The following is a 27,238-nucleotide window of genomic DNA, read 5'->3' as shown; positions in this document are numbered from 1 at the left end:
CACAGCCCAGGGGGCCAGGCTGACACTAACTAAGTGCTTTCTGGAAGGCCTTTGAGGAGCCTGTTCTCTGCAGCCCCAGCTGGTGTCTTGGGACCTGGCCCCTGCTGGAAGCTGATCGTAGGCCAGATTCCTGACTGATAAGGAGATGTGGGCGTCGGCACAGGGAAGGGGAGTACCTCCCAGCCTCGCCTCCCCTGCCCACCAATTCCCCTCTACCTAAGGCAGCAGCGCTCAGAAGCCGAGGGACAGGGACGTAGGATGTCTGGTCTGAATGGGGAGTTCAAAAGCCCTCTGCTGTGGCCTGAACTGCCTCAGGGAGTTCCATTGCCTTCAATGCAACAGATGTCTAGGTCTTGGCAGGGTCTAGTTGGGGGACTGCTTCTGAGCCATGCAGAACCCACTCTGGGGTGGGGTGGGGGGCCCTAAGCACTACCGTTTCCCTGCCTAGGTGGCTCCAGAAGGAGGAAGGGTCCACCCAGCGTTGGGAAAGGGCTGCCTGTGAAAGTGAGGCCCCCTCTGTCCCCTCCATTGGCTTCCTGCCCAGGTCGAGGGGAGAATTCAAGGCCCCTTGGGCATCTGCCCTTGGGTTCTTGAAGGGACTAAAGTTGGTGCCTAGACGCCTGACTTGGGGGTGTTCCCCAGCGTGGCATGCCTCAGGCGACAGAGGCCAGGCTGGGTTTGGGAGCTGTGACTTCCTGTGAGCTCTGCCTCTCTCATGAAAGGTTTGAAATGATGGAGTGAGATGTAAATTGTTTCTGTGATTTATGACATAGAATGTACCTGAAAACCAACACCCTACGGTGGAAAGCAACGCCTCCCTGTTTGTGTGTTGGGGTGGGGGAGGTGACCAAGAAGGAAGACACTGTGTGTGCCGCCTGTGTCCACGCAGGCCCTGCCACCAGCGCTGGCGGTGAAGCCCGCCTGTCCCGGGCACTCTGCGCTCTACCTCTGGGTCCGCCCCAGCCAGCCCCCTCCTTGCGCGCTCCCCCTCTCCCCTCCCTGCACCCTCTCCCTATGCCCCCTACCCTCTCCCTGCTCCCACCCCGTCCTCCTGTCCCTCCCTCTTCCCAGCCCCTCGGCACGCTTTCCACGTGCCCCGCACCTTCTCTCCGCGCCCCAAGCGCCCTCTCCATGCTCCCCCAGTTCCCCTCGCGCCGTCGGGCTCCCGCGCCCCCAGACAGATGGGGGCTCCCCCGCCCTCCCCACGGCACACGCGGAAACGGCTCCGCCAGGGGAATAAACAAGCCGCCTGCTCGCCGGCCCGGGAGGAGATGAAAGCCCGGGGCTTCTCCTCTGATCATGAAACAGGCTCTGAAAGGGTGCGGAGCTGGAGCCTTTATCTATTCATACTCGGAAATGGCTTTAGAATGAACTGCTAAGATAAGCTTCCTCGGACGTTTCTCGGTGTTGGAGGCGCGCGGGGCGCGGGGCAAGGGTTTGGGGCTTTTTTAATTCTGGCAACAAACCCGTAACTGCGAACTCACTGCTGAGGGAACACGCAAGTTCTAGCTGCGCTGCGAGAGCCGCGGGAGCTCCCCGGCCAAAGCGGTGGCCAAATTCAAGGCGCTTACTCTCAGCCCCTTTCCTGGGGAAAGGGACAGAGACTAGGGGATACCCCTAGATTCTCTCCACCTGGAGGGTCCCCCAAGCCCCAACCCCGCTGCAGCCCCGACTTTCTCGGAGGTCCCTGGGGACTCCAGGAACAGCTACACGGACCCTCCCTTAATGTAGGGGAACACCAGCCAGAAGGGGTCAGAAGTCTAGAGAGCGGTTTCAAAGGTGGGGATGGCTCTGACTGGGCAGGCACACAAGAAGGATTCTGGGGCGGTGGTGGTGATGATCTATTTCTTTATCTGGATGAAGGTTACACGAGTGTGTTTATTTTGTGCAAGTCTGTAAAGCTGCACCCTTAAGACCTGTGGACTCTTCTGTAGGAATGTTCCACTTCAATACATTTAGGTTAAAAATTATATATGTGTGTACACATACACAGGCGCCTTGGAGCTCAGAGTCTGAAAAGAACCCTACAGCAGTGAAATGGCAGGGGTCCCCTTAAAACCCTTTGTTTCTCCAACCCTGATGTCCGTGGGGGCTTTTCAGGAGGAATCCTGGGTGTACGGGGAAGAGGCCAGGGCCCAGCATCCAAGGCTGGGGTTAGGAGTGGGGCTGCTGGTGCCACCTACACTGAGACCAAGCCTTCTGTAGCCAAGTGAGTTCTGATTTTGAAGATAATAAATCGATTTCCACGTTTCACACACATACATAGAGGCATACACACACAGTTTTCTAATTCACCCAAAGCATATTTAAGAAATCTTTTCCCTGAGGGAGGGGCAGGGGTGAGAGTGTGTGGAATGGATGTTGTTTTGGAAGATCGGTTGCTTCTCTTAGATTTTTTTTAAAGGCACTTCCTTCTGATAGACTTTTGCTTTCAGAAAATACTTTAAAAAGAGATCAAAGCACTCTCTCCCCAACCCACTTTCCCAGTGTCTTCAACCCTTACTTCTCTTATCATCCACGCCACTGGGCTCTGACGCTCTGTATACAGAGTGAGGGCAATTGGCTTTGAAGCCCCGGATTAAGCCGGGCCAAATCCTTGCCTCAGAATAACAAACAATACAGGTTCAACAGGAGTTCTCATCGGTAGTTCATTTTTCAAACGCAAATTCACTGTCACTAACACAAGCAACATTGAACTCAACAGGCTATGAAGGCTGATAGTGGAGATTTATCTGGTGGCAAAACCCTGACCTAGGAGTAGGGCAGTGAGACAGTTAGGCAATTTTCATTTTGGGGAGGTTTATATTTAAATTTTTTTGTGGAGCTCACTTTTATCTATGTTTGGGAGAAAATGCAGTTTCTCACATGTATCAAGCTTGGCAGGGATGTGGGGAGGCCAAGAGAGGGATCTGCTGTCTGCGGCTATCAGCACGAACCCTCTGGACACAGAGACCCAAGAGACTGAGACGGGCTGCGGAGGGCTGTGGCCCCCATTTCACACCTGACATGGAGGTCGCTGAGTATTCAGAAACTGGTGGCTCCCACTGTGGTTGGCATTTTATCCACCAGGCCAAATTGTTTGGCAGTTCAAAGTCACTATCCAGTGAAAGGGATTCTTCTCTCTGTCAACCTTCAAGACTCTCAAGGACCCAAAGGGCTAAGGTAGGAAGGAAACTTGTGATCTGAGAACTCAACCTGGCTTGAGAACATTCTGGCTCCCCTTTTCCAGGGCCTGCTCCTACCCAGCCAGATGGCAGTTATCGTGTCCCTAATCAGCCAGGGTCTCTAGGGCAGAGCCACAATCCACACTGAATAGGACCCCGTAAAAAAGCAATCAAGGGAACTTATCAAAGTAGGGGCTGTGTTCTGGGGGTGGGGTGTCTCATCTGTTTTCCTGTGTGGACCTGGTAACTGCCTAACTTCCCTTCTCTGGGGTTTGGTTTACGTTCTCTTGGTTCTCCTCCAGCTCTAGCCATCTAGGAAGCTATGATTCCAGGTTTAGCAGCAGGGCCCAGGCTGACAAATGGACGTGTACCAAGAAGGGTTCCAGTAGAGGCACACAGAATTTGGGGAGCAGGGAGAGGCACTGGACAGGATGTTGAAGAACCACAGCCTGAGTAACGTAGATCAGAGCAATACAGTGGTTGCTGAAGGAGGGGGGCAGCTATGAAGGAGGAAATGGGGTCTGTGAGGGGTGAGGGGTTGGGGGCATGAGACTAGTGATTTTCTTAAGAACCAGACCCAGTGCAAGGATAACTTTCTGCCAGAGAAGTGAAAGGCTGTGATGGATCCATAATTGGCCAACATCATCACAGCCATTTTAGAAATATTATCATAATTCCCTAAGGTCCATCTCTAAGCCTCAACTAGGATCAAGCACAAACATCTGCCTGAAGCTGGCCACCTATGGAAGTATGTGTATAAGTGTATGTGTTGGGAGAGGGAGGAGGAGGACCCATGCAGATGCAGGAAACACTACTGAGGAAAACAAACAAACAAAAATGCCCTTTGTTTAAAATGCCAAAGGCCAGACATGCCCAGAGAACATGCTGGCCAGTTATTTTCAAGAGACAAGGTTATTTCTGCTGCCTAAAAATGGCAGTTCTGAACCTTTCTCTTTCTTACCTTCTTTCCACACTAGCAGGCACAAGAAATAGCCCCATTCCCCTTCGCACTTGATCAAGTGGATTATCCATTTACCAACCATCATCCACGTGATTCCCTGGTTTGAGTTTCACAGTGATAGAAAAGGAAGGGACAGCAGATAGGTCTACGGTCACCATTTCCCTGACACCACTGAGCTACAAGGAGACTGTGACTTGCCCAAGTACACTCAGCCAGAAAGAGGCAGGGCCTGTGACACCTGGCTTCCACTGTCCTCAATGCCTGCTCCATGTCGCACCCTCTGCCAGCCCCTTCATGTGTCTTCCTTCCCTATCTCCATCCCCAAAATACAGCAAGCTCAAGCCCTAAACTAAACCTACTTTCTCTCCTGATAGAGGCCCTGAGTGGTGATGCCACCTCCCTGGCTAAGGCCTGAGGGTGGCCAAGTGCCCAGACCTCCACCCTCAACAAAAGAAAGGAAACTTTATAAGGCCTGCCAGGGAGCAGAGAGGAAGGACCACAGCACCCCATACGCTGCACACAGCAAACCAGCCGGCTTTTTGTTTCCTTTGAATAGTCTATCATTCACTAAGTGGTTCAGCAGAGCTGAGTTCTCTAAAAAGTAGAAGAAAATACTGAGTGGGACGCCAGACACTTCTCTAATTATTGCTAATATTATTCGCTAGCACTTCTTGTGTGCTTGCATGTGACAGGAACTTGGTGCTTTACATACAATGTATGAGGCAAGACCTGTTCTTTTACAGATGGAGTGGGGAGGGAGCAGAGACCATTAAGCACCTTGTCTGAGGTTGCACAGATGAAAGTAGCTGAGTTGGAACTGCAGCCCTCACCCACCGTGGTCTGACTCCAAATTCCTGGCACTTGAGCCTTCATCATCTTATTCCTTCAAAATCCCAATTATGAGACACATCCAGGCAAAGGGACATTTTCACACCTAATCTGTCCTCAGGGACAGAAATCAAGTGTGTGTATGTGCAGGGGATAGAGTGGGTGGGGAGGGAGTTCCTGAACCTGAACTTGCCAGCGTCTCTGTCTACAGCAATCCACCTTCACCTGATAACCGTTCTCCTCCACACTCCTGCCCCCACCCCACCAGCCCCAGCGAATCTCTCACTCACCCCCACCCCCGCCGTGAGTCTTCCTCCTCTCATCCTCTCCTCCCTGTTCTCTCCCACAGACACCAGCGCATTTTAAAGATGTTTCCACTTTATAAATCATCCTTTTCTGGCAGCCACCGAGAGCCGCTCCCCCAACAACACACACGGAGCCCAACGTAGTGCTTTCCCGTTGGCCAGAGATGGGGATGGAAACAGAAGAGCGGCGCCCCTGGGATGAAAAACTTGGGGTTCGAGTCACTCACGAAAATGTATGAAAACTGAACAGCATAGTCTATTTCCCTCTCCCCATCTGCTGAGAGGCATCTCTGGGTCTCCAATCAATGCATTCCTGAGAAACCTCCTCAGGTCCTCAAAGAGAGGAGGGCAAAGCAGCCCCCCAGGGGGCCAAAAGTGCTGGAGCTGGGACTTTTGAGCGTCGCGATCCCTGTTTGGATTCATTTGCATAGCGCTGCCCCTCCCCTCGGTCTTTCCCGCAAGGCCCGCGCGGCTGCGGTGGCCCCCTGCGGGCTTTGGCGGCCCAGTCCCAAGCTGCGAAGGGAGGTGGCACTGACGCCCGAGGAGGCAGAGAGGCCTCCCACAGGCCACCAGGCCGGGGCCGAGAGGACTTCTAAGGGACCTCCCTGGCCCCCCTTGCTCCCCACCGCCATCCCCGGAAGTAAATCTCCCAGCGCTGACCTGCCAGCCTTAGTGATGATCATCTCGGTGCCCGCCTCGTGGAACTTCTTCCAGAGCTCCTTCTCATGCAGCCCCACCTTGATGTTCTCGATGGTCTGGGGATGGGAGGGAGAGAAACTTGTGTCTGCCAGGCCCAGGGCTCCACGCGGAGCCTGAGGAAAGAAGAACCAGACCCGAAGAGCTGTGCGGAACCCTGCCCGCCCGGAGCCCATGGCTCCAGATTTCGTTTCACAGAACGATTTTGAACTATTCGTGAATATAAAAGAATTAATCGGTGGCTAAAACTTCCTCCTTTAAAGCTGCACCTACGGAGGAACCCTCAGAGGACACACATAGTGGCCAGCGCAGGTTAGACGACACTCCTGCTCACTCATGAACATTTCTGTGGCGGGCCATCGCCACAGGCTCCCGGGGCAGACACAGACAGGGAGAGGCGCACGCACCCTCGGCCAGGCGCGCGCCTGCAGATAGTGCACACAGATCCCCAGGCGGCATCCCGTGCGCTGTGATCGTCCGATTATCACTGTGAAGCCCTCGGCGACGTCCCAGAGGCCTCGGATCCCCGCAGCGGCTCCCGTGCGCACCGGCGGGGTGGCCTCCTCCTGCCCCCTCGCCGTTGGGTCCCAGGCCCTCTACGGGTTGTTGGAGCTGGACACTTGGTCCAGGCTCGCTCAGATGCTACGGGGGTCTCCCTCTCTCTTACCGCCCTCTCCTCTATCTCTAGCTCTAGCTCTTGCTTGTCCCAGAGTAGCCCCGAGGGCTCAAAGTGGAGAAGGACCCAAAAGGCAGAGAAAGCGAGCCATGTCCAGTGGAGAACGAACGGGCAGACCGTCCTGAATGCAGCCAGGTCCTCCTGAAAGCGAGTCCTGCCGACAATCGGACGGAAAGACGGACACAGGCGGCCCCGCAGACAGACCGACGCCCGACTTCTACCCGACGGCTGGCGCAGCCCTACCTGCTCCGCGGCGGCGGCGGCGACGACGTCGGCCCCGGGTCCCGGGGGGCTGCCTAGCGCGGCTCCGCTGAGGCCCGGCGCTGCCAGCGCGGGCTCGGGGGCGTTGGCTGCGCTGGCCTCTCCGAGCGCTGGGCCCGGGGCCCGGAAGGCCTCCTCGCTCTCGGACAGGCCCTTATCCTGCAGCATCTCCTGCGGGCACAGCACACAACGAGTCACTCGCCCAGGTCCACACTCGCCAGAGGACCCCTGGCCCTCTCCAGCCGATTCCGGGACTTCGTGCGGGGCGCGGAGGCAGCCCTGGAGCACGTGGACCCCGCCCCCTCCTGAGCTGGAGGAGGGAACCCGCAAGGAAGGCAGGTCCCTCGCCTCCTCCCTTCAGGCTGTGGACCTGGGAGGGTCTGCGGCAGTTCAATGTCTGCCTGCCCCTGGGTGTGGGGTTCTGTGATGAGTAGGTCTAGGGGAGGGACCGCCCTCTCGGCATTGCCACAGCTGCACCCCGAGTCCCTCACTCCTACTGAGCTCCGGTGGAGCCTGAGGCCTGGGCCTTCTCGGCTGTTCCCCAATAACTGGGGTCCAGGCCTCTCTGTGGGCCCAGGACAGCCAGGACACCTCCTGGCCATGCAGGAAAGGAGAGCCAGGCTGGAGGGCAGGGCCCAGGCTCCTGCAGCTCCACACCTGTGTGCAGAGAGGGCCTCAGGACCTCAGGCCCAGCTCACCCATCTGCCCTCACCCAACCCCTCAGACAGCACTGAGGTAGAGACTTCCTGAACCAAAGGCTTTCACTCCAACACACTCCCCGTCCACACACATCCTCTTCCCGTTCTGGCACAGACATCCTCACACCCAAACACAGCCCCTCACACAGCATCCCACCAGCCTGAGCAGCCACACTCTCCTGGGTGACTGATCCAGGCTCTGCCCTCAGCCCAGGCCTCCCCTACCTGGTGCTCGAGTTCGAACCTACAGGCTCACTCAGGCACACTTTAGCGCCACAGGGCTCTGCTTTGGGCCTAAAGACCCACACCCTTCCCAGTGAAGGACCAGGCCAGCAGGCTGGGCCCATTCACAGGAACCGCTTAGCCCTGCCTGGCACAGCTACATTTCTTCGGCTGTCTTGGCTGATTCCCTCGCCTACTCAGGTGCCTGCTCCCTGCCCGAAGCAGGTCCTGGGGCCTCGGGATGAGAGCACAGCCTGAGAGGCCAGCCTGCCCGCATCCCTTAAGGGTGTGCCCCGCTTGCTCCGCTTCCCCTTTCCACCTCCCTGCTCTTCCCCATCCTGCTGGACCTGGGCGCTCCAGCGGAGCTTTCTGTAGGTCTGACGGCCCTTCTTGAGGCGGAATGCCCCGCCTTTCTCTTCCTACCTTCTTCCCGCTCTCCCCGGGCCCTCCCGGAGCATCCCCGGGCTCAGGCCTCTCGCCCATCTTGTTCAGAGGCCTCCTCATCCCGGGCTTAGACTTCGACTCCCAGGACCTCGCAAAGTAAACAAGCCAAGTGCAACCCAGGAGATAAAAAGGGGCCGGGGCCAGTCTGGGTTGGGAAAAACCCATAAAGATAAGGTTGACAGGCGGACCAGTCTTCGGCCACAGCCTGCAGGGAGTGAGACTCGCTGGACATGGCCAGCGCCAGCACCCGCCTCGGGCCACGTGCGAACGCGGGCCGAGCCTCGGAAACCTAGGAGTCCCCACACAGGGCCGCTGCGCCAGTAGGGTAGCTGCCCGCTCCGGCCAGCGCGCTGGGTCCAACTATATCTAGGGCCCCGGCGGGATCGGCTCCAGCGACCAAGCGATCCGCTGGTCCCAGATGTGGCGGCCTGCGGGGTCGCAAGGAGGGGCCGTCTCGCGCTTGGCCCGCATGGCCATGGGGTCCTCTGCTGGGCTCTTGTCACACCCGGAGCCGTGCAGCGGAGCCCTGCGGCTCGCGCCCTGCGCTCTCAGTCCTACGCGCTCAGCCCTGCCCTGTGAGGAGCTGGTTCACCGCCCGCGTCCACTGACGCCGGTCCCGCAGCTCGGACTGGGGACGAGGCCTGCTCAGTGCTCTCCCTCCCGGGCTCAGGGTTTGCCTCTTCCTTTTCTCTCCGCCACGAAGCCACATCCAGACCTCGGGACAGCTTGCCCCCTTCCCAGCAATTTCCTTTTTTCCACGCCCGGCTGGCCCGGGGCGGCCGTCCTCGCGGTCCTCTCGGACCTCGAGCTTGGGCGCGCTCGGCCGCCGCCAGCACCGCGGGGTCCCGCACTCAGCACCGCATAGCGGTCCGCTCTCGTCCTTCACATCCACTCCTCCGCGGGTGCGGCCCGCAACCTCCGCTGCCTTTGCGATGGGGTCTGTTGCTTTCAGCTGCCTCGTTTTCCAAAGACGACAGCATTTCTCTTTTCATTTTTAGGTTACTGGGGATATGTTTCTTGCACTAGGGGAACTGTTACTATTTCGTGCTTTTTAAAATATTTTAATTGTCCTTATTACCATAGTAGTATTTTGATCAGTTCGGGAACTTTGAGAATATCCTATCGCGTGGATTATTACTACTTTGTATCTTTAATACTGTATGGTTAAAGCCCTGCTTTGATTCGTTAGCTTACTGTTACTAAATTTGTTGTTTTCCTGTCACTGTTCCATCATTTCAGGGCCGCCTGGCACATTCATAATACTATTTCCAATATCGAGGTGACATAGTGAACAATAGGTCACGTTAATCTATTGTAATTTTTTATTCTTGCTTTGTATCCCTAATACGTTTCCGTTGCTTGCTCTTCATTTTGATTATACTTTGTCACGCTGTTTCAATAACTTCTTGTTTACCATAACTTGTTATATAATTGTTCTCAAAATTCATGTTAATTTCCCTCACATCCTTATAATACTTCTTGTTATCTAACCACAATTTGTTTTGTTAGGCTTGCTCATAACACTCCAGGTATTATTCTTCAACACACCCCGACAGTATCTTGTTACTTTGTCATTATTTGTAATGTTACAGATCTGAACTCGCTAGTTACTCATCACATCATTACTTCTTGTTATTTTGTCATACTTTGTAATATTGTTGTAGCTCTTAATACTCTGATTATTTTTCATCACATTGGTACAATACTTCTTATTACTCAACCATTATTTATAATGTTCTTGTGACTATTAATACATTGGTCATAAATTGTCATATTACTCCAGCAATTCTTGTTAATATGTCTTTATTTATATTACTATTGCTCCTAAGATTTTAGTTAATATTTCTTTTAATAGTTCACTGTAGTATCAATAATACATTATATTATTATATCACTACCACTAATAGTATTTCCCTTAATAGTATTTTCATTGTTCATCTTTCTCCTACAGTTCGTTTGCTAGTTTCCTACAGTTTGGTAATTTGTTACACTATTACTATATGTTATATTAGTGCAATTGGTTTTAATAAACAGTCCTTACATTGTTCCTCTATTTAGAATTACTTTGTCTTTAATCCTTTTAAAAATTGTGATTACTATTTTCACTTGATTCTGAAAGTGACTATGATTGTATTATTTGGAAGTTCACGTGTTATATCAGTTATGCCGATTAGCCCTTTCTTTGGTAATTGTTCACATTCCAATAATCTTTAATCATCGATCATTATTTATATATAATGTTCCTTGCTTTAATTTTGACTAGTCTATTGCATCAAAGGCTCTGAGTCTAGTGTTCTGATCACTCACATATCTACACGGATTTTCGCTCCAGTACCGGGGCCCTCTTCCTTGGCCTTGCATATTCTGCAAACACCAATTTCCAGGCCACCGCTCCGCCTGTCACGGCCTTGTTCTTAGGGTGCTGGCGCTGTCGATATTTCTATGCTCTTGGATCTCTAGACCCAATTCATCGCGTTACTCAGAGAGGAGGGCTCGTGCCCCAACTACTGGGTGTCGGGCCGAGGCGGCGGCCCGACCCAAGGCACTTCGCGCCGCCTTCCTGCAACTTTGACCGCCCCTGAAGTTCTTCCCCGGGTCGCGTGACTCACCCCTTTCCAGCTCATCCTCCTGTCCGTCCCCGCAGCCTAACCCTGAGCCCCTGTGGCCCCAGCCCCGCACGCCCAGCTCGTCCCCACTCGGCTGGAACCCACACTCACCCTAATTGCGGTGCCGCATGCGGAGGCGCCAGCGGCCCGAGGTCCCCTGCAGGTTCGGGTCCGAGGAGCGCGGGACGGCCGGGGCTCCGACTCCGCGCCGCTGGGTCAGGGTCCAGCTGCCTGCCGTGCCCTCGGGGCTGGACACATCCCGGCTCTGGAGCGGGCCCTTGATCTCCAAGGCTGCACTTTGGGGCCTCAATTCCCTCCTCCTCCCTCCCTCCCTCTGGGGCCGCCCCCCCTCCGCGCTGACGTCGCCGCTGTCAATCAGTCTGCGCCCGCTGTCCCCCGGGGAGGGGGGCTCCAGGGTTCCCCGGCGTCGCGGTCCCCAAGATCCCGAGCCCCACGCGAGCCGCCGGCTCCTCCACCGCGCGGCCCAGTGCCCTCCTCTTGGCCCTCGGGCCCCGCGAGCCGGGTAGGGGCTGGGAGCCCCGCATGGTTTAGATTAGAGAGGCGGGAAGCAAGGGCGAGCAGCCCGGCTCTCAGCCGAGGCTCGACAACCAGGAGGGCTCGCCTGGCCCCGCCGTGCCCGAAGACTAGGACGCTCCACGACCGGGTCTGGCCACCCCCTGCCGGCGCCCGCTTCCAGGCAGCGGCTTCTACGGATCCCCGGCCGCAGAGCCCCGCTCCCCAAGCCCTGCTCCCAGCTGTGCGCGCTGTTCATTTGGGAGCCCCGGTCCCGAGGTCGCAGGCGCACACGCGCCTCACAGGCCCACGCTCCGCTTCCCTACCATGCCCACCACGCGGCCTTGCACTTCCAGGCCCTGGGCACGGCCCTTCTGCTCACCCGCCCTCCTTGTCCCGGCCCAGGGGGCCGCGGGCGCTGGACCCGGCCTGGCGCGCCTCGAAGTCGGCCGCGGAGGTCAGGGGTGAGGACTGGGAGGAAGCCCGGTGGCCGGGTGCGGGGCGGCGGCGGCAGGGAAGTGCTGGGCCGGCCTCTGAGTGGAGCCGAGTCCGGCTCGGGCCTTGACAGAGCCCAGGCCGGGCTGCAAGGTGCCAGGCTTGGCAGAGCCTCCTGGGGAAACTGCGGCCCAGGGCCAGGATTCCGCGGCAGCTCCTTGAGATCCTGGAGAGCTGAAGAGGAAGCCCAATGCCTGCCCTAGTCTAGGAAGTGGAGACTGGGGAGCGTCCTGCTCCCAGCCACCCGGTTCTTTCCGCCTCAGAAACGGAGTCCCGCTCAGCACCTAGACCTCCCTGCCCAGCCTCTGAGCTCTCTGTCTCCACTTACCTCTGTTTCTCTCTGTCTGTACCTCCCACAGGACGCTGCCTTTCCACTAGCAGACGGACCCATGCGGACCCCAGCCCGTGCCCCAGCCTCCCCGCCTGTCACATGCCCAGAATCCTGGGGCAGAAATAGGCCTGCCCACCCATCTGCAAAGACAGCAGAATCCTCATCAATAAGGATCCCCAGAGTGGTCCCTTAGTGCTTAGCATGGGCTGCATCCCTCCCTCCACCAGTGTCCTCAACCAGCCTCTGTCCCTTTCCAGATTCTGACCTCAAAATCAGCTTGAAGGGGAGAGGACAGGGAAATTCTTTTCCTGGATGGGTCTGTCCCTGTTCTAATGCTAGGAAATGGAAAGCCAGCATCAATGCCTTCTTTACCACCCTGCACTCAAAGGTGGAAGCAAAAACGCCAACTCAGAAAAGCCAGTCGCTGCTGCTGTCAGGAGCCTGAAATCCACCTCAACAGTGGGCCGCTGCTCAAGTCCCTATCACCATTGCAGTACCAGGTCCCACCACCCTATCACCATTCCTCTCATGGAGTCTCAAACCAGGGAGGGGAAATAATATCTAAGAGGAGTGGAGGAGCAGAATCCTTCCCCAAACCTGCGGACTCCTGGAATGGAGAAAGGGAAGGCCCTGGCGTTTCAGGAGATGCCTGGGGAGTCGTGTTTCCTGTGTTAGGGAGACCTGGATGACATGCCTCAGCTTCTGCTCGCAAGCCCCCTCCCATGACCTCTCCAACAGCCTGTAGGGAAATCCCTTGCAAATAAATAGTATACAGACTAAGCAACCAACTACTGTGTGGAATGGTGAACAGGGAGGGCAGTGAATCACCAGGTACTATGGGAAGACTAGAGCTAGGCCAGACTCTGGAAAGAATTTGTTGACAGTCATTGGAGGAAGTTCATACTGAGATCGTATCGTATAGTTCTTTAATAAAACAAACAAACAAAAACAAACAAACTAGACTGGAACCTTCCTATAAGTGCAAGGCTTTCTGGAGACTGATGGCAGACAGTCTAAATTAATATCAACAGGTTCATGATGACATGGAGAAATGAGATATGGAAGGGACAGGTAAGCTTTTGGCAGTAAAAAGGAAGGGGCAAACCAGCCAGCAAGTGAGTAAATGAGAGCGGTTCTGTATGCACATTCCCCATTATTAGAATGGAATACCTCATTTAACTGACTCTAAGACACACATTTTTCACATTCTGGTATCTCTGAAACTGAGATGCATCTGATAGCTAGCGGTGTGTCATAGCTTAATTAGCAGCGTTTTTTCTTCTTAGTCGTATGTAAAATAATAGAAAAGCTTATAATGGATGCTGCATAGTATTTGCTGAAAAAGAGCCTGTGTAGAAGAGGAGAAGACCAATTTTTTTTTCTCCAAAACTACTTTGAGGAGTTCAAAATATGAAAACCCTCCTCAACTAGCTAAACAAATAACTGACGGTGCCACACATCGGTCACACTGATTTGGGTTGGCTTGGGGGAAAGTGCTCAGGTTTGGTAGCAGGCTCACCTTGGTTTTGAAACCTAGCTCTGATTCCTGGCTCACCATTTTGCAGCTATGTGACCTTGGGCAAGTTCATTAATGCTCATATAAAATGGGGATAATTACGCCAACCTACTAGCTTATTGTGAGGATTGCCTATATTAATGCATGGTTGATAAAGGCTAGCTCCCAAGTATTTTAAAAATTTATTCTACTTTTCTCTTTTCCGCAAAAGGCTTGAGGTGGTTTATAACCAGAATTAGCTAATAAAAACACAAGTAGAAAAACACATTAGGATCAAGGAAAAAGGAGTAAGCATATATGCTATCACTAAGTGCTGACAAAGTTGCTATAATTGAGAATAAAATCTGGCTTATGAGCCAGCAGAGCAACATGGTAGTTCTCTATATCAGAAATGTGGAAACAGTAACTCTTTGGTGAATGGTGAAGGAACAGACTTTGTCCTGGCCCTAAATTTTAAAAAGTAGTTTCTCGGCTGGTCGCAGTGGCTCATGCCTATAATCCCAGGACTTTGGGAGGCCTAGGCAGGCGGATCATTTGAGGCCTGGAGTTCAAGACCAGCCTGGCCAACATGGTGAAACACTGTCTCTACTAAAAATACAAAAATTAGCAAGACATGGTGGCGCATGCCTGTAGTCCCAGCTACTCTGGAGGCTGAGGCAGGGGAATCACTTGAACCTGGGAGGCAGAGGTTTCAGTGAGCCGAAATAGTGCCATTGCACTCCAGCCTGGATGATAGAGTGAGAGTCTGTCTCAAAAATAATAATAATAAATAAAATTTAAAAATAAAGAAAAAATAAAAGTAGTTTCTAATGTAAATGTTTATTGTTATATCGTACAGTGTTTTACCATTTACAAAGTGGTTTCACAGCTGCCATCTCATTTGATACTGTATTAACTCCATTTTTTTCTCTATTTTATGGATTCATTCATCCAAAGAAATATCAAATGCTTACTATGTGTTAGACACACAAACAGGAGGAAAGGCCAACTGACCATTCTGTTAGTTACCCAACTACTTGACTAACCCATCACTAACAGCAAATTCATTAATGAATGACCTGCAAGCTGAGTAATTAATCACCTAAATAATCAATCTCAGAGACAGCAGGGGCTACAGGATAAGTTGGGGATGCCAGTCAGCACAGTAGGGTGGCTCCCTAGAGCCTGGGGTGGCTTTGGTTGAGGATGACCTTTTGGTGGAGGATGAGCTGGCACCATAGTGTAGTGAAAAGCAATTACAATTTTTTAAAAAAATTAGGTTTTTGGAGCACTTAATAAATACCAATGCCAAGCTCTAACCCAGACCAACTGAGTCAGAATCTCTGTGAGTAGAGCCAAAGCCGGACATGGTGGCGCCGCTTGTAGTCCTAGCTACTCAGGGGGCCAAGGCAGGAGGATAGCTTGAGCCCAGGAGTTCCAGGCAAGGCTGAGAACCACTGGTCTATGAAAATCCTGTTCTCTGCTCTCCTAGTCTCTCTTGTAGCTAGAGATGGCCACGTAATCCAGTGTTGGCCAATAAGACCTAAACGGAAGACTGGAGGGGAGAAAGGTTGTGGGAAATATTTTGCTTTCTTGATAAAGGGGAAGATGTGATCTTCCTTTCCCCTGCAGATGAGATCCTTGAAGTTCTCACCCTCTAGAGACCTTAAGGAAGAAGGATGAAAGTCAATATGTTAAGGATATCCAAGGAAAAACAGAAAGGGCCTGAGTTCCTTATGGCATCATTGAGCAGGTAAACCAGTGCCAGCCTGCTTCTTATACATAAGAAAAATAAACCTTATTTCTTTTCATCATTGTTAGTCTGGATGGATCTCTGTTACTTACAGCTAAATATACTCCTGAAGCATATGTAAAAGTTCCCAGCTCAGTGTTCCTTTTTTTTTTTTTTTTTTAAAGAAACAGGGTATCACTCTGTTGCCCAGGCTGGCATGCAGTCATAGCTCACTGCAGCCTCAAAGACTCCTGGGCTCAAGCCATCCTCTTGCTTCACCAGCTCAGTGCTGAGTGCCTTCCTCCATAATGAAAGATACTTACCTGAGTGCGCATGTGCTCGTGTCTTCCCATTCAAAACCAGGACACAAAATCCCTCCTCACTTCTTTCCCAGCTATGTTTTTCTGTGTATGCTGTGGTCTAAGGCCTAGGATCCTTATTAACCTCCAAAAGGGAAAGGATGGATGAGGCAGCAGGGAATTGATCTGTCCCCTGTAGCTTTATTGTCCTCCTGTAGCTTTATTGTCACCCAGTAGCCCCAAGTCTTGGTTCCAGATTCCTCAGCCCACATCCCATTCAGATTAGCAAGCTCAGGAAAGCTGTGGGGCAGGAGCTTGAGCTCCCTCTGGGAGGTTGGAGAAGGACCAAGCAGGGGATGGGTAGAGGTGGCAGCTGCTGCTACTGCAGGTGCTTCCCCTCACACCACAGATGCAGGTCTGCTCACCTGACCTCTCACCCTGCTCTCTCAGGCCTTCTCCTGTCAGGCAGAACCAGAAACTTCCAGGTAGAAGGAACTGAGGACTGGGCTGCCTTCATCTCTGAGCTGGGTGAGGCAGACTGGTCTGAGCCCCTTTGGGACTGAGGGCAGAGACAGTGATTCACCAACAGCACAGGTGGATCCCTCCTTTAACTCTCATTTGAGACACTACAGAGGTAAGGAATGAATGATCAAGTCTGGGTTTTGCATAGCCTGAGCAATCTAGACCTCCTGATCCAGAGACCTTTTTCTTTGGTGGATTTTCTCTAGAAGGTCAGCTTCCCCTCCCCCATCCTTACACTACATGCTCCTGAATCCTCACTTCCTTCCATTTCCTTCAGTAAGACTTCTCTGAAATATATGCTTATTTCACTACCAGAGGAAGGTATATCTCCTAGGGTTGTGCTAGGTGAAAAAAATTCCTAAATCAGAGATATTATTTAATTGTTCAACACTTCCCTTTTTTTCCTTTCTCCTTTGCATTCTTCCCAAGCATAGATAATCCAAATTTGGCTTTAAATTCGGCTCCTTGGGGATATTTCTGAATGAGGGGCTAAAATAAATTAGAATTTAAGAATGGGAGACTATCAGAAAATGCTTGGAATTTGAAGTTTAAAGGCCTGAATTCAGGTCTACAGCATGTTCTAGGTCAGAGTTTTAAGGCTAGAGCAGAGTTTTAAGGCTCTGCTTCCTCATCTATAAATGAATTTAATAACAATAGCCACCTCATAGGGTAGCAGAAAGGATGAAGTGACAGCACATAGATAAAAGTACTTTGAGGGCTCACAATTATAGCTAACATTTATCAAACACCTACAATGTGCCTGGCAGAATTCTAAGAACTTTATGCACATTATCTCATTTCAGCCTCACTACCTTATCAGGTGGTTACTATCATAAACCCAATTTTACAGATGAAGAAACTGAGGTCACATAATTTGCCCAATGTCATACAACCAGGAAATGAAGTCAAGATTTAAAGCCAAACTAGTTTGAATCTTCAGTGCCTATGCTTTTAAGTAAACTGCTCTCCAGTTTCTTAGCCTAAGCAGGTTTTCTTTGTTAAACAGGGATAACACAGCCTCCTTCACGTTGTTGTTGTAAGAGTAACATGTATAGTGCCTGGCGCATGGTAACACTCAAATACAGGTATCATTATAAATAGGACTTGACCAAGGTCTCACAGTAAGTAAAGAGGTTATTGGACCTATAGGGCTCAAGAGCCCAAGATCATAACCTATTCATTATTATTATTGTTCATTTGCTAAAAAATAAAATACTCACCCAGGGACCAAAAACTTAATCATCTCTCTCTTCAGATTTCCAAGAGAGGGCACTTCCAGTATCCTTGATGTTCCTAAGAACATCATTCTCTGTCTCCTGCGGGCTCCTACCACGTTAGCTACTGGAAGAAAGCCAGCAGGACCCCAGGAGTGGGGTGCTCATTCACCAGGACACATTGCTAACGGAATGAAGAGCGAGGGTTGTACACACAGACTCTGCTGCAAGCTTTTCATGTGTAAAGATGATGTTGATGGCCCTTTCTAGCTGAGAACACAGCCTTGGACAAAAAAAGGCAAATTAGGCCAGCACAATGGCTCAGGCCTGTAATCCCAGCACTTTGGGAGGCTGAGGTGGGAGAATTGCTTGAGCCCAGGAGTTCAAGACCAGCCTGAGCAATATATTTAATAGCAAGACCCTATCTCCACTGGGCGCGGTGGCTAACACCTGTAATACCAACACTTTGGGAGGCTGAGGCAGCTGGATCACTTGAGGTCAGGATTTGGAGACCAGGCTCGCCAACATGGTGAAACCCTGTGTCTACTGAAAATATAAAAATTGGCCGGATGTGGTGGTGCACTCCTGTAATCCCAGCTACTTGGAAGCTGAGGCAGGAGTATCGCTTAAACCCAGGAGACAGAGGTTGCAGTGAGCTGAGATTGTGCCACTGCACTCCAGCCTGGGTGACAGAGTGAGACTCCGTCTCAAAAAACAAACGAACAAACAACAAACAACAACAAAAAGACCCTATCTCTATAAAACACAAATTTTTAAAAAGGGAAATTCTTGACTACATCAGAAACAAGTGACGATAAGGAAAATTGTGCTTTCATCTGGAATAAAATCCTTTATAACAGGCCACCGGGCAAAGAACCCTCTTCTCCTACCCCACACCCCACCTACTTGGCCACAGACCTACTGCCCCAGAGGCAATCCAGCCCTGGGTGTGGAGGGACACACCACAGGGTTGCACCGGGGGCTCAGAACACCATTCTCTCTCCTTCCTTGAGTCTGATTTATTACTATGAAGGCACTATATAAACACAAAGCCAAATGACTCATGGCAACAAAGCTGAATGAAACTCCAACAAAAGGCACGTCCTTGGTGCCTTCCGCTCCTTCCCCACATCACAGGGCCCTTCTAGCAGTCTGTACCAAGCTCAAGCCTCTTTTCCAATTGCCGTCCCAAGAAGCGTGTCCTGGAGCTTCCTGAGTGCCCCCATCCCATGTCACCAAGGCCTTCTTCTCCCTGCTGCCCTCTTCCTCAAACGTCCCCCATCTGCCTCCGGCCCCACTCACCCAGAGCTGCTCTCTGTGCTTGGGTTTTTCAATCCCCAATTCTAAAGGGGCAGGCACAGTAGAAAAGGGAATGGAAGGAGGCTTGATGTGGGCATCAGTGGGAAGATTTGGAAGAAATTGGAGAAGGGACTTTGCTTACTGCTCAGTCATCAAAACCGTTCTATAGCAGATTTCATGAAGAAAAGACACTCAGCTGAAGGCCTACGGGAAACTTCCTTGTCTCCAAGGCCCATAAGCTCTGTCCATCAATCTGTTTGGGAAGTGCCTCCTCACATCTAGCTTCAACCCCTCTTGCTGCAGTTGGTCCTTTCTCTAAGGAGTCAGAGGCACGCTGGGGCTCTGTTAACTGGTCAGGCCTCCACGGTAAGACTTTCCATTCCCTCATTCAGTCTCCAAAGCTGGGGGGATGCAGCTGTCCAAGGAGTGCTGTGCCCTGGAGCTATGCCAACACTGGCACGGAACAGGGTGCAGACCCGAGTGGGCAGGTTGTGAAAGGCAGGCCCGGGGCTGTGGCTCCTCTGGGAGATTCAACAGGTCCCCGACGAGAGGACAGGAAGGAGTCCCCAGGCCCGACCACCACCCCCGCCTCCGGCGTCCTTGCATTTTCTGAAGTTTCTCCTTTGAACACGCTCCTTTATTTATTGGGCCTCGTTTAACCTCAGCCATGTCCTCCCAAGATCATTTATTTGGTAACTGTCACTCAGCCTGCTCTGGCATTAACCTCGTAATCCTATTGATTTCCTCCAAGGTAGTTGGAGGTTTTTCCCGTCTTCTTGCCGGGCAGGTAGGGACTGATTCTCAGTTCCATTATCGAGGAAGACGCCCCAGGCTGGTAAGGGGCCTGCCCGGAGGCCGTCTGGAGTTTCCTCGTTCTCACTGTGGCTCTCGCCAGCCTGCGGGAGACCGATTCCTGAGGTCACCTCGGCTGCTTAAGTGTGAGGTAAGGTGGCTGAGCGCCCACCACCATCACCAGCATGAGCTCCCTGAGTGGCTACTGAGGCTGTCCTTCAGCTCAAAGGGCCTGCATTCCACCAATTGAAGCTCCGATTGCCCTGGAAGCCCGCCCCCCCCCCACCATCTTGGATTCCGGAAGGGGAAGGGGCCCAATCAACGAGGGGGAAGCGGGTGAGGGTGGGGCCGAGGCCCAAGCTCGCGCCCACGTGGCCACCAGGCCTGCGCCTTCCCGCCACCTGTGGCCGGCAGCCTGGCCCCTGTTGAGCTGCAGCTGCAGCTCCCAGACACCAGCCCAGTCCGTCGCCAGGGGATTAGTGTCTGTCTGTCGGTTGGGACAGCCTCAGTGGGGGTTGTCCCGGCCCAGACAAGGGCCTCCACCTCGCCTTTCCCCAGGACCACCCCCCCTGAGTCCAGCATGGGCAGAAGGGATTGTTTCGGGGGGTCTGACTGCCTGGAGTGCTGATCTCTCCCAGAGCTGAGGTGTGGGGTGACCAGAGTCCCCCTCCCTGCCAAGGCTGAGCCACATGTGCTGGGAAGTTCATTTCCCCTTGTTTTCCAGAAGGGGCTCCGGGATTGACCCCGGGAGTGACCCCAGTGTCAGGAGGCATTAATGATCTCCATACGGGCAATAAACAGGCAGACCGGCTGGCTGGGTGTGGAGGTGCCCTGGAATGGGGCTGCCTTATTAGCCTCACATTCACTCGTGGGTAGAGGCTTAATTAGGAAGGGCTCCCTCCTCTGTCTCCCCCTCCCCCAAGCATCCTTGACCTCCCTGGGAACTGAAGTCTTCTCACTGGTTCCTCTGCCCCTCAAGGGCTTCCTCAAGAGGCAGCTTCTTCAGACGTCAGCTCAGCCATTTGTCCGCCTCTAACAGGACTTTCGACTCAGCCCTGATAATAAGGTCTATCTTGTTTGTAAAAGTCTCCAGAGGCAAAAAGTTCACAAACGTTCTGAGTCAGCTCACTTTTTTGTCTACCAAACCCAGGAACAAGAAGGTCTTTCTCTTCTTTAATTTAAATCCCTCTTGACCATTTAAGTTTGAGCCTGTTGAGCCTTATTTTCTCAAAGTGCAAAGGGAGATAGCTGGTGACCACCCTTTACTTCCAGTCTTTAGCAACTGCCTAGATGATTACAAAGCCCAATGTGATTGATCACAACTGTCTCTCCAACTTGATTGCCATTAGGGAGGTTGCTCATTCTAAGTGTGCAGCTTGTTCTCCTTGGGCTTCAGTTTCCTCATCGGTACAGCTCACTTGAAATTCACCAAACACCACATGCTAGGCACAATGCTAAGCACTAGGGCAATAAAGCCAAGGAAAACTCAGGGCCTACTTTAGAGGAGCTCCCAGTCCAGTGAAGAAGACAGACTTGTAAACAAACGCCATAATAAAATGTGCTCAGGGCTATAATCTTAAGTCCTTACTGAGTGTGAAAAGAGTACAAAAGAAGGATTAACCAACTCATCCTGGCTTGTTTGAGGAAGTCTCCATGAGAGGTGAGATCTGATGCTATCTATGAAAGACGAATATGAATGGGATCCTTCGAGACAGAGAATGTGGGAAAGGCATCCAGGAGAAAGGAAGAATACAGACATAGGCATAGAGAGGCCTGTTTCAGGAGTAGTGGGGCTGGAGTGGTAAATGAAGCCTTGTGGAAAGATAAGGCTTGGGAAGGACCTTGTAAACCATATTAAAAACTTCAGCTAATGGCAATGGGGGACCATAAAGGGTTCTTTTTGGGGGCAGGGGGAGGGAAGGAGAAGCTTGGACTGATCAGATTTTATTTTATTTTATTTTTTTATTTATTTTATTTTATTTTATTTATGTTATGTTATGTTATGTTATGTTATGTTATGTTATGTTATGTTATGTTATGTTATTTTTGAGATGCAGTCTCCCTCTGTTGCCCAGGCTGGAGTGCAGTGGCGCAATCTTGGCTCATTGCAACCTCCACCTCCTGGGTTCAAGTAATTCTCCTGCCTCAGCCTCCTGAGTAGCTGGGATTACAGGCGTCCACCACCACGTCCAGATAATTTTTGTATTTTTCATAGAGACGGGGTTTTACCATGTTGGCCAGGCTGGTCTCAAACTCCTAACCTCAAATGATCTACCTACCTTGGCCTTCTGAAGTGCTGGGATTACAGGCGTGAGCCACTGCGCCCAGCCCAGAATGTATTGTAGAAGATGACTGGTAGTGGGGCAAATAGATTTGCAGGTAGAGACTGGCAGCAAGGAGTTATGAGGGCAGGGAAGTTATTAGAAAGATATTTAGGAGAAGTGAAGTATGGAAGAGGCAGGAGTTAAAGATGTTTCTGGGCCAGAGTATGATGGACAGTTGTGATATTTTTACACCCAGACTTCATCCCCCCCTTTTCAGGTTCAGAATGCTCGTTGAGTTTTAGGAGGAAGAATCATTCTCTAGAGGCTTTTAAAAACAAGATTGACAATATCAGGATTGATTTACAATTTGTTAGGACCATCACTGAAAGGGTTGTGCTTACCCCCAGCTAAGACCATGTGACCCTAGTTAGTGCATTCAGATGCTTTCTTCCTGTAATTCTAATCTCGAGCCTAATGGCAGAAAGAATGAAGGGATGGAAGTTGAATCATCCTCTTTGGGCCTCGGCTTCCTTAACTGTACAGTTCATTTTAGATTCAACAAACACTACATGGTAGGTAATGTTCTTCTACTACATTCTTCAGTCTTCATTCCCCAGGGAAGCCATTCACTTGTATCCACTGTTCAGCTTCCCAGAGCTGCTCTGGCCTTCATTATTTATGAGTCTTGACCTTCAAGAATTTTCTTCATGTCAGTGAATTGCCCCATGCTTCCAAAAAATCCCCTCTCTGCTAAAACCAACCAGGTACATTGTCACAGCTTTGACACAGAACCTTTTGTGGTTGTGATGACATTAAGTGAGAGAATAGGCAGTGAGTATGGGCAGAGATGAGTTTCATTTTAGTCATGATAAGAAATACAGGGTCTGGAGATCACAATTTGAGACACATGAGTACACAGTGGGCATTCATACTGGTAGTTGATGAGGCCACTGAGGGAGAATTCATTGAAAAAGAAAAGGAGACCAAGAATGGAATCTTGGAGGGTGTGGAAAAGAAAGGAAATCAGCAAAGGGGCCTGAGAAGAATCAGTTAAAAAACTGGCTGAGAGAGTGCAATCCTGGTCGCAAAAGAACTTTTTAGGAGCAAGGGAGAAGTCAGCAATGTAAACTACTGGCAACTGTATTAAGGAGGATTCGAGGAGGAGGAAGTTAGAGTCACTGGTGACATTAGGAAGAGCAGATTAGTGGAGGGAAGATAAGAGTTCATCTCCATTCCAGGCTGTTGGAGAATCAAATGAGCTGGCTACCATAAATTGGAAGGACCCACCAAATGGGAGAGGCTCACACTCTGGTTTTCCTGGGCTTCTGGAAAGAACCATAATGCTGGCCTCCTGTGCCAGCTTCCCTCTCATGGGCATTGACTAAAACTTGCCAGCAAGTCACTATACACCACTGGAATCCTCACCTGCCCAGAGGGCCTGTCTTGGGGAGCTCCCTCTCTCAGACTCACTCAAGAGTCGGGCCTAGAGGCCCAGCAGAGTGGCTGAAGACAACCCGACAATCATGCTGTATTTTTGCAGTGGATGACTCTTCATAGCCCACCCTCCTTATTTCACTGTCAGTAACATCCCAGTGCATCACCTGACATTAAAGTCCTCCAGGATTTAACACCAAACCTGTTTCTACCCCAGTCCCACTGCTCCTCCTCAGGAACCAAATTCCCTTTCACACAGCTCCCTCACAATGGCCTTCACAGTCCTTTTAATGCACCTTTGTTCACACAGCATCTCTTTGATATCTCTCCCTTGATTTCCTGCCTACCTACATCCTTCACAGTTTATGTAACATTTTCACATATACCTGAGCTCATAACAACCCTGAGGAGTAGGAAAGAATACAGATGGTATCACCCACATTTTACAAATAAGGAAACCAAGGCGTAGGGGAGGTAAGGGACTTTCCCAAAGCCACACAATTAAGAGGGGGCCTCTTCAGACTTTTGGAATTCCATGGCTTCCAGATTCCAGGTTTCAGAATCATAAAGCTTAGTGCAATTGTCACCTCCTTGTCAGCCTGGGACAGGCTGTAAACTATGTGCAATTTGGCCCAGAGGGTTTGAGGACAGCATGACATGGTGGTTGAGCTTGGCCACTGGGTCCATACATCTCAGGTATTACCTTGGGTGATCTACTTAGCTTCTCTGGTCCTCAGTTTCCTCATCTGTAAAATGAGCAAAATAATACTCATTTACTTCAAGTTATTAAATATTTGGGAAGCATTTACAACACTACAGAGTAAATAGATTTACTTGAAAGTGAAATGAACTTGATTGAAAAAGATTAGACTCATTCATTGTCCATGGTATTACTACTACTTTAGAGTAAAATGTCCTCATTGGAAAGAATCTGGTAATTATGGCAGACTGCAAAGAAAACAAAAGAGATAACCACTTGACATTTTTGCCAGAGTGATGACAGCAAGCTGGTGGAATAGGAGACTCCAGTCCTCATACTTCCATAGAAACATCAATTTTGACAACCATCCATGGACAAGAAGAGTACCTCAAGTAGGAAACCAGGAGTCCAGTGAAGCAATTATAGAACTCTGTTTAAGCCAAAAAAAAAAAAAAAAAGAAAGAAAGAAAGAAAAGAAAAAACAACTAAGACTAGATGCGTTGATGAAGGTAAGAACACAGTGGCTCGTGCCTCTAATCCCAGCACTTTAGGAGGCTGAGGCAGGCGGATCACCTGAGGTCAGGAGTTTGAGACCAGCCTGGCCAACATGGTGAAACCCCGTCTCTACTAAAAATACAAAAAATTAGCCGGGCGTGGTGGCACACCCCTGTAATCCCAGCTACCTGAGAGGCTGAGGCAGGAGAATAGCTTGAACCTGGGAGGCGGAGGTTGCAGTGAGCCGAGATCACACCACTGCACTCCAGCCTGGGTGACAGAGTGAGACTCTGCCAAAAAAAAAAAAAAAAAAATTACCTGGTCATGGTGGCAGGTGCCTGTAGTCCCAGCTACTCCAGAGGTTGAGGCAAGAGAATCACCTGAACCCAGGAGGCGGAGGTTGCAGTGAGCTGAGACTGCAGCACTGCACTCCAGCCTGGGCAACAAGAGCGAGACTCCACCTAAAAAAAAGAAAAAGAGGAAGAACAGTTTCACTTAACCCACATCACCCTACTCCCAAGGCAGCATGGCTCAGTGCCCAAGTCCACAGTTTCTTCGATGGGGGATAGTGAGAGTGAAGTGAGTGTCCAGCTTCCCCAGCCTCACAGGTTGTTACCCAAGAGGCTCACTTCTGCCTCACCCCACCCAGATCACAGAAGATCACACAGCTAAAAGTCTTGGGGGAGGTAGGAGCAACCACAAAGTCTCAAAAACCAGCTGTAGACCCTATTAATTGGTTTGAGACTCCACCAGGAGTCTGAAAACCATGAAAACCCTGTAGGATGCCTCATCTTCAACACCTTCAATTGGATGACTCACACCCTCAGCACTCTGCATGTGCCCCTGAAATGGCACATGCAAAAGTCCTCAGATGGCATTTATGCGTTCCTGAGACAGAGCACCTGAGCCTCCACAGATAGTGAGTGCAAGCCACCACAGAGGACACATGCAAATCCCCACAGACAGCACATAGATATCAGCAGCTATCTCAACTTTGCAGGGTTGAGAGAAGGTGCACAATCTTGAACACTTCAAGGCACTTTCCTGGAGAAAATTAAGAGGAGGCCCTCCACACCTGGCCTGACTTTACAGGATTGAGAGTAGGCACACAATCCTAAGCCTTACCCCCACAAGGGGGAACAAGAGAGTGGGGCAGGTGAATCCATAGAAAAGGCCTGAAAGACGTCAAACTCTTGATTGTCTGGTGAATGTCTTTCTCTTCCAAAGCCAGTTAGTAGAGACTGGAAGAGGAGACTGCTTTTTCAAAGACAGAAATGCAACACTTCAAGGAACAAGAAGAATTAAGAAAACATGACACCACCAAAGGAACAAAATAAAGCTCCTGTGGCTGATCCCAAAGAAATTGAGACCTATGAATTGCCTGATAAATAATTCAAAATAAGTGACTTAAGCTCACTGAGGTACAGGAGAACACAGACAACTAAACAAAATCAGGAGAACAATACAAGAACAAAATGAGAAATTCAACCAAAAGATAGAAATCATAAAAAAGAACTAAACAGAAATTCTGGAGCTGTAGAATATGATGAATGAACTGAAAAATTCAATAGAGAGCTTCAACAGGGGACTCAAGCAGAAGAAAGAAGCAGTGGACTCAAAGACAGATCATTTGAAATTATCCAATCAGAGCAACAATAAGAAGAAAGGATGAAAAAGGCCTGTGTAACTTATGGGACAACATGAAACAAAACAACATTTGCATTATGAGTTGATGTTCTAGCACATTCAAAGTGCTGAAACAACAAAAACAACTGCTAACCAAGAATATTCTACATAGGAAATCTATTTTTAAGAAAGGAAGGAGAGATACTTTTCCAGCTGAGGGAGTTCATTACTACTTACAAGAAGTACTAAAGAAAGTTCTTCAGGTTGAAATGAAAGGATATCAGCCAGCACTGGAAAGAAGAAGAAGAAGAGAGAAGGAAGAAGGAGAGGGAGAGGGAGGAAGGAAGAAGGAAAAGAAGAAGAAGGAGGAGGAATGAAAGGACACTAAACATAAGAAACATATGAAAGTATAAAACTTGCTAGCAAAGGTAAATGTATAGTCAGATTCAGAATAGTCTAATTCTGTAATGGTAGTATGTAAATTGCTTTTACCACCAGTGTAAAAGTTTAAAGACAAAAGTATTAAAAATGACTATAGCTGCAATAATTTACTAATGAATGCACATTATAAAAATGTAAACAGTAATATTAATAATATTAAATGTAGGGGAGAAGAAGTTAAAGTTTTTGTATGTGATCAAAGTTAAGTTTTTATCAGGTTAAAATAGTCTATTATAACAATAGAATGTTTTCTGTAATCCCATGGTAATCACAAAGAAAAAATTCTGTAGGAGATACACAAAATACAAAGAGAAAGGAATCAAAACAAAATACTATAAAAAATTATTAAATCACAAAGGAAGACAACAATAGAGAAAAGAGCAAATGAATTGCAAAACAGAAAACAACTAGATGGCAATAGTAAGTCCTTACCTATCAATAATTACCTTACATATAAATGACTTAATTTCACCAATCAAAAGACAGAATAGCTGAATGACTAAAAAACAAGATCCTGCTATATGCTGCCTACAGGAGACTCACTTTAGCTTTAAGACACACACAGGCTGAAAGTAAAGGGGTGGAAAAGGCTATTGCACTCAAATGGAAGCCAAAAGAGAGCAGAGGTAGCTATACTTATATTAGGCACAAAGGACTTTAAGTCAAAACCTGTCACAATAGTCAAAGAAGGTCATCATATAATGAATGATAAAAGGGTCAGTTCA

The 27,238-nt window shown here is 50.1% G+C and overlaps 1 protein-coding gene and 1 long non-coding RNA gene across 6 annotated transcripts in view, besides 5 other annotated features; one reads left to right on the top strand and one right to left on the bottom strand.

The window, feature by feature from the left end:
- The window catches only part of TBX4 (T-box transcription factor 4), a 32,689-nt gene extending 21,561 nt beyond the window's left edge, over window positions 1-11,128 (bottom strand). For 2 of the 5 annotated variants that reach the window (XM_011525490.3, XM_011525491.3), the window contains exons 1-3: window positions 8,235-8,437; window positions 6,874-7,062; window positions 5,919-6,013 (exon numbers count right to left, since the gene is read on the bottom strand). In XM_011525490.3, the coding sequence (XP_011523792.1) occupies window positions 5,919-6,013; window positions 6,874-7,062; window positions 8,235-8,420 (470 nt within the window). In that variant the 5' untranslated portion in view covers window positions 8,421-8,437. Of the gene's footprint in view, window positions 1-5,918; window positions 6,014-6,873; window positions 7,063-8,234; window positions 8,440-10,972 lie in introns of those variants that run through there. The other 3 variants (NM_001321120.2, XM_011525495.3, NM_018488.3) reach the window with 3 other exon arrangements.
- Window positions 433-1,095: an enhancer, noted in NCBI's record as "H3K4me1 hESC enhancer chr17:59539816-59540478 (GRCh37/hg19 assembly coordinates)". NCBI's record gives its function as "activates a minimal SCP1, AML or CMV promoter by ChIP-STARR-seq in naive H9 embryonic stem cells {active_cell/tissue: H9 hESC(naive)}" and the evidence as "EXISTENCE:reporter gene assay evidence [ECO:0000049][PMID:30033119]".
- Window positions 2,708-10,308, top strand: LOC124904042 (uncharacterized). Its single transcript, XR_007065872.1, has 2 exons — window positions 2,708-3,162; window positions 5,303-10,308. It is a non-coding gene; the product is annotated as an uncharacterized LOC124904042 (long non-coding RNA).
- Window positions 7,754-8,634: an enhancer, noted in NCBI's record as "H3K27ac-H3K4me1 hESC enhancer chr17:59532277-59533157 (GRCh37/hg19 assembly coordinates)". NCBI's record gives its function as "activates a minimal SCP1, AML or CMV promoter by ChIP-STARR-seq in primed H9 embryonic stem cells {active_cell/tissue: H9 hESC(primed)}" and the evidence as "EXISTENCE:reporter gene assay evidence [ECO:0000049][PMID:30033119]".
- Window positions 8,635-9,516: an enhancer, noted in NCBI's record as "H3K27ac-H3K4me1 hESC enhancer chr17:59531395-59532276 (GRCh37/hg19 assembly coordinates)". NCBI's record gives its function as "activates a minimal SCP1, AML or CMV promoter by ChIP-STARR-seq in naive H9 embryonic stem cells {active_cell/tissue: H9 hESC(naive)}" and the evidence as "EXISTENCE:reporter gene assay evidence [ECO:0000049][PMID:30033119]".
- Window positions 10,317-11,158: an enhancer, noted in NCBI's record as "H3K4me1 hESC enhancer chr17:59529753-59530594 (GRCh37/hg19 assembly coordinates)". NCBI's record gives its function as "activates a minimal SCP1, AML or CMV promoter by ChIP-STARR-seq in primed H9 embryonic stem cells {active_cell/tissue: H9 hESC(primed)}" and the evidence as "EXISTENCE:reporter gene assay evidence [ECO:0000049][PMID:30033119]".
- Window positions 19,519-19,729: a silencer, noted in NCBI's record as "fragment chr17:59521182-59521392 (GRCh37/hg19 assembly coordinates)". NCBI's record gives its function as "represses an EF-1alpha promoter that drives an FKBP-Casp9 reporter gene in an ReSE screen in K562 erythroleukemia cells {active_cell/tissue: K562}" and the evidence as "EXISTENCE:reporter gene assay evidence [ECO:0000049][PMID:32094911]".

The sequence above is a fragment of the Homo sapiens genome, chromosome 17, assembly GCF_000001405.40.
Source record: "Homo sapiens chromosome 17, GRCh38.p14 Primary Assembly".
Classification (NCBI taxonomy): domain Eukaryota; kingdom Metazoa; phylum Chordata; class Mammalia; order Primates; family Hominidae; genus Homo; species Homo sapiens.
This window is presented reverse-complemented; position numbering and strand designations above follow the sequence as displayed.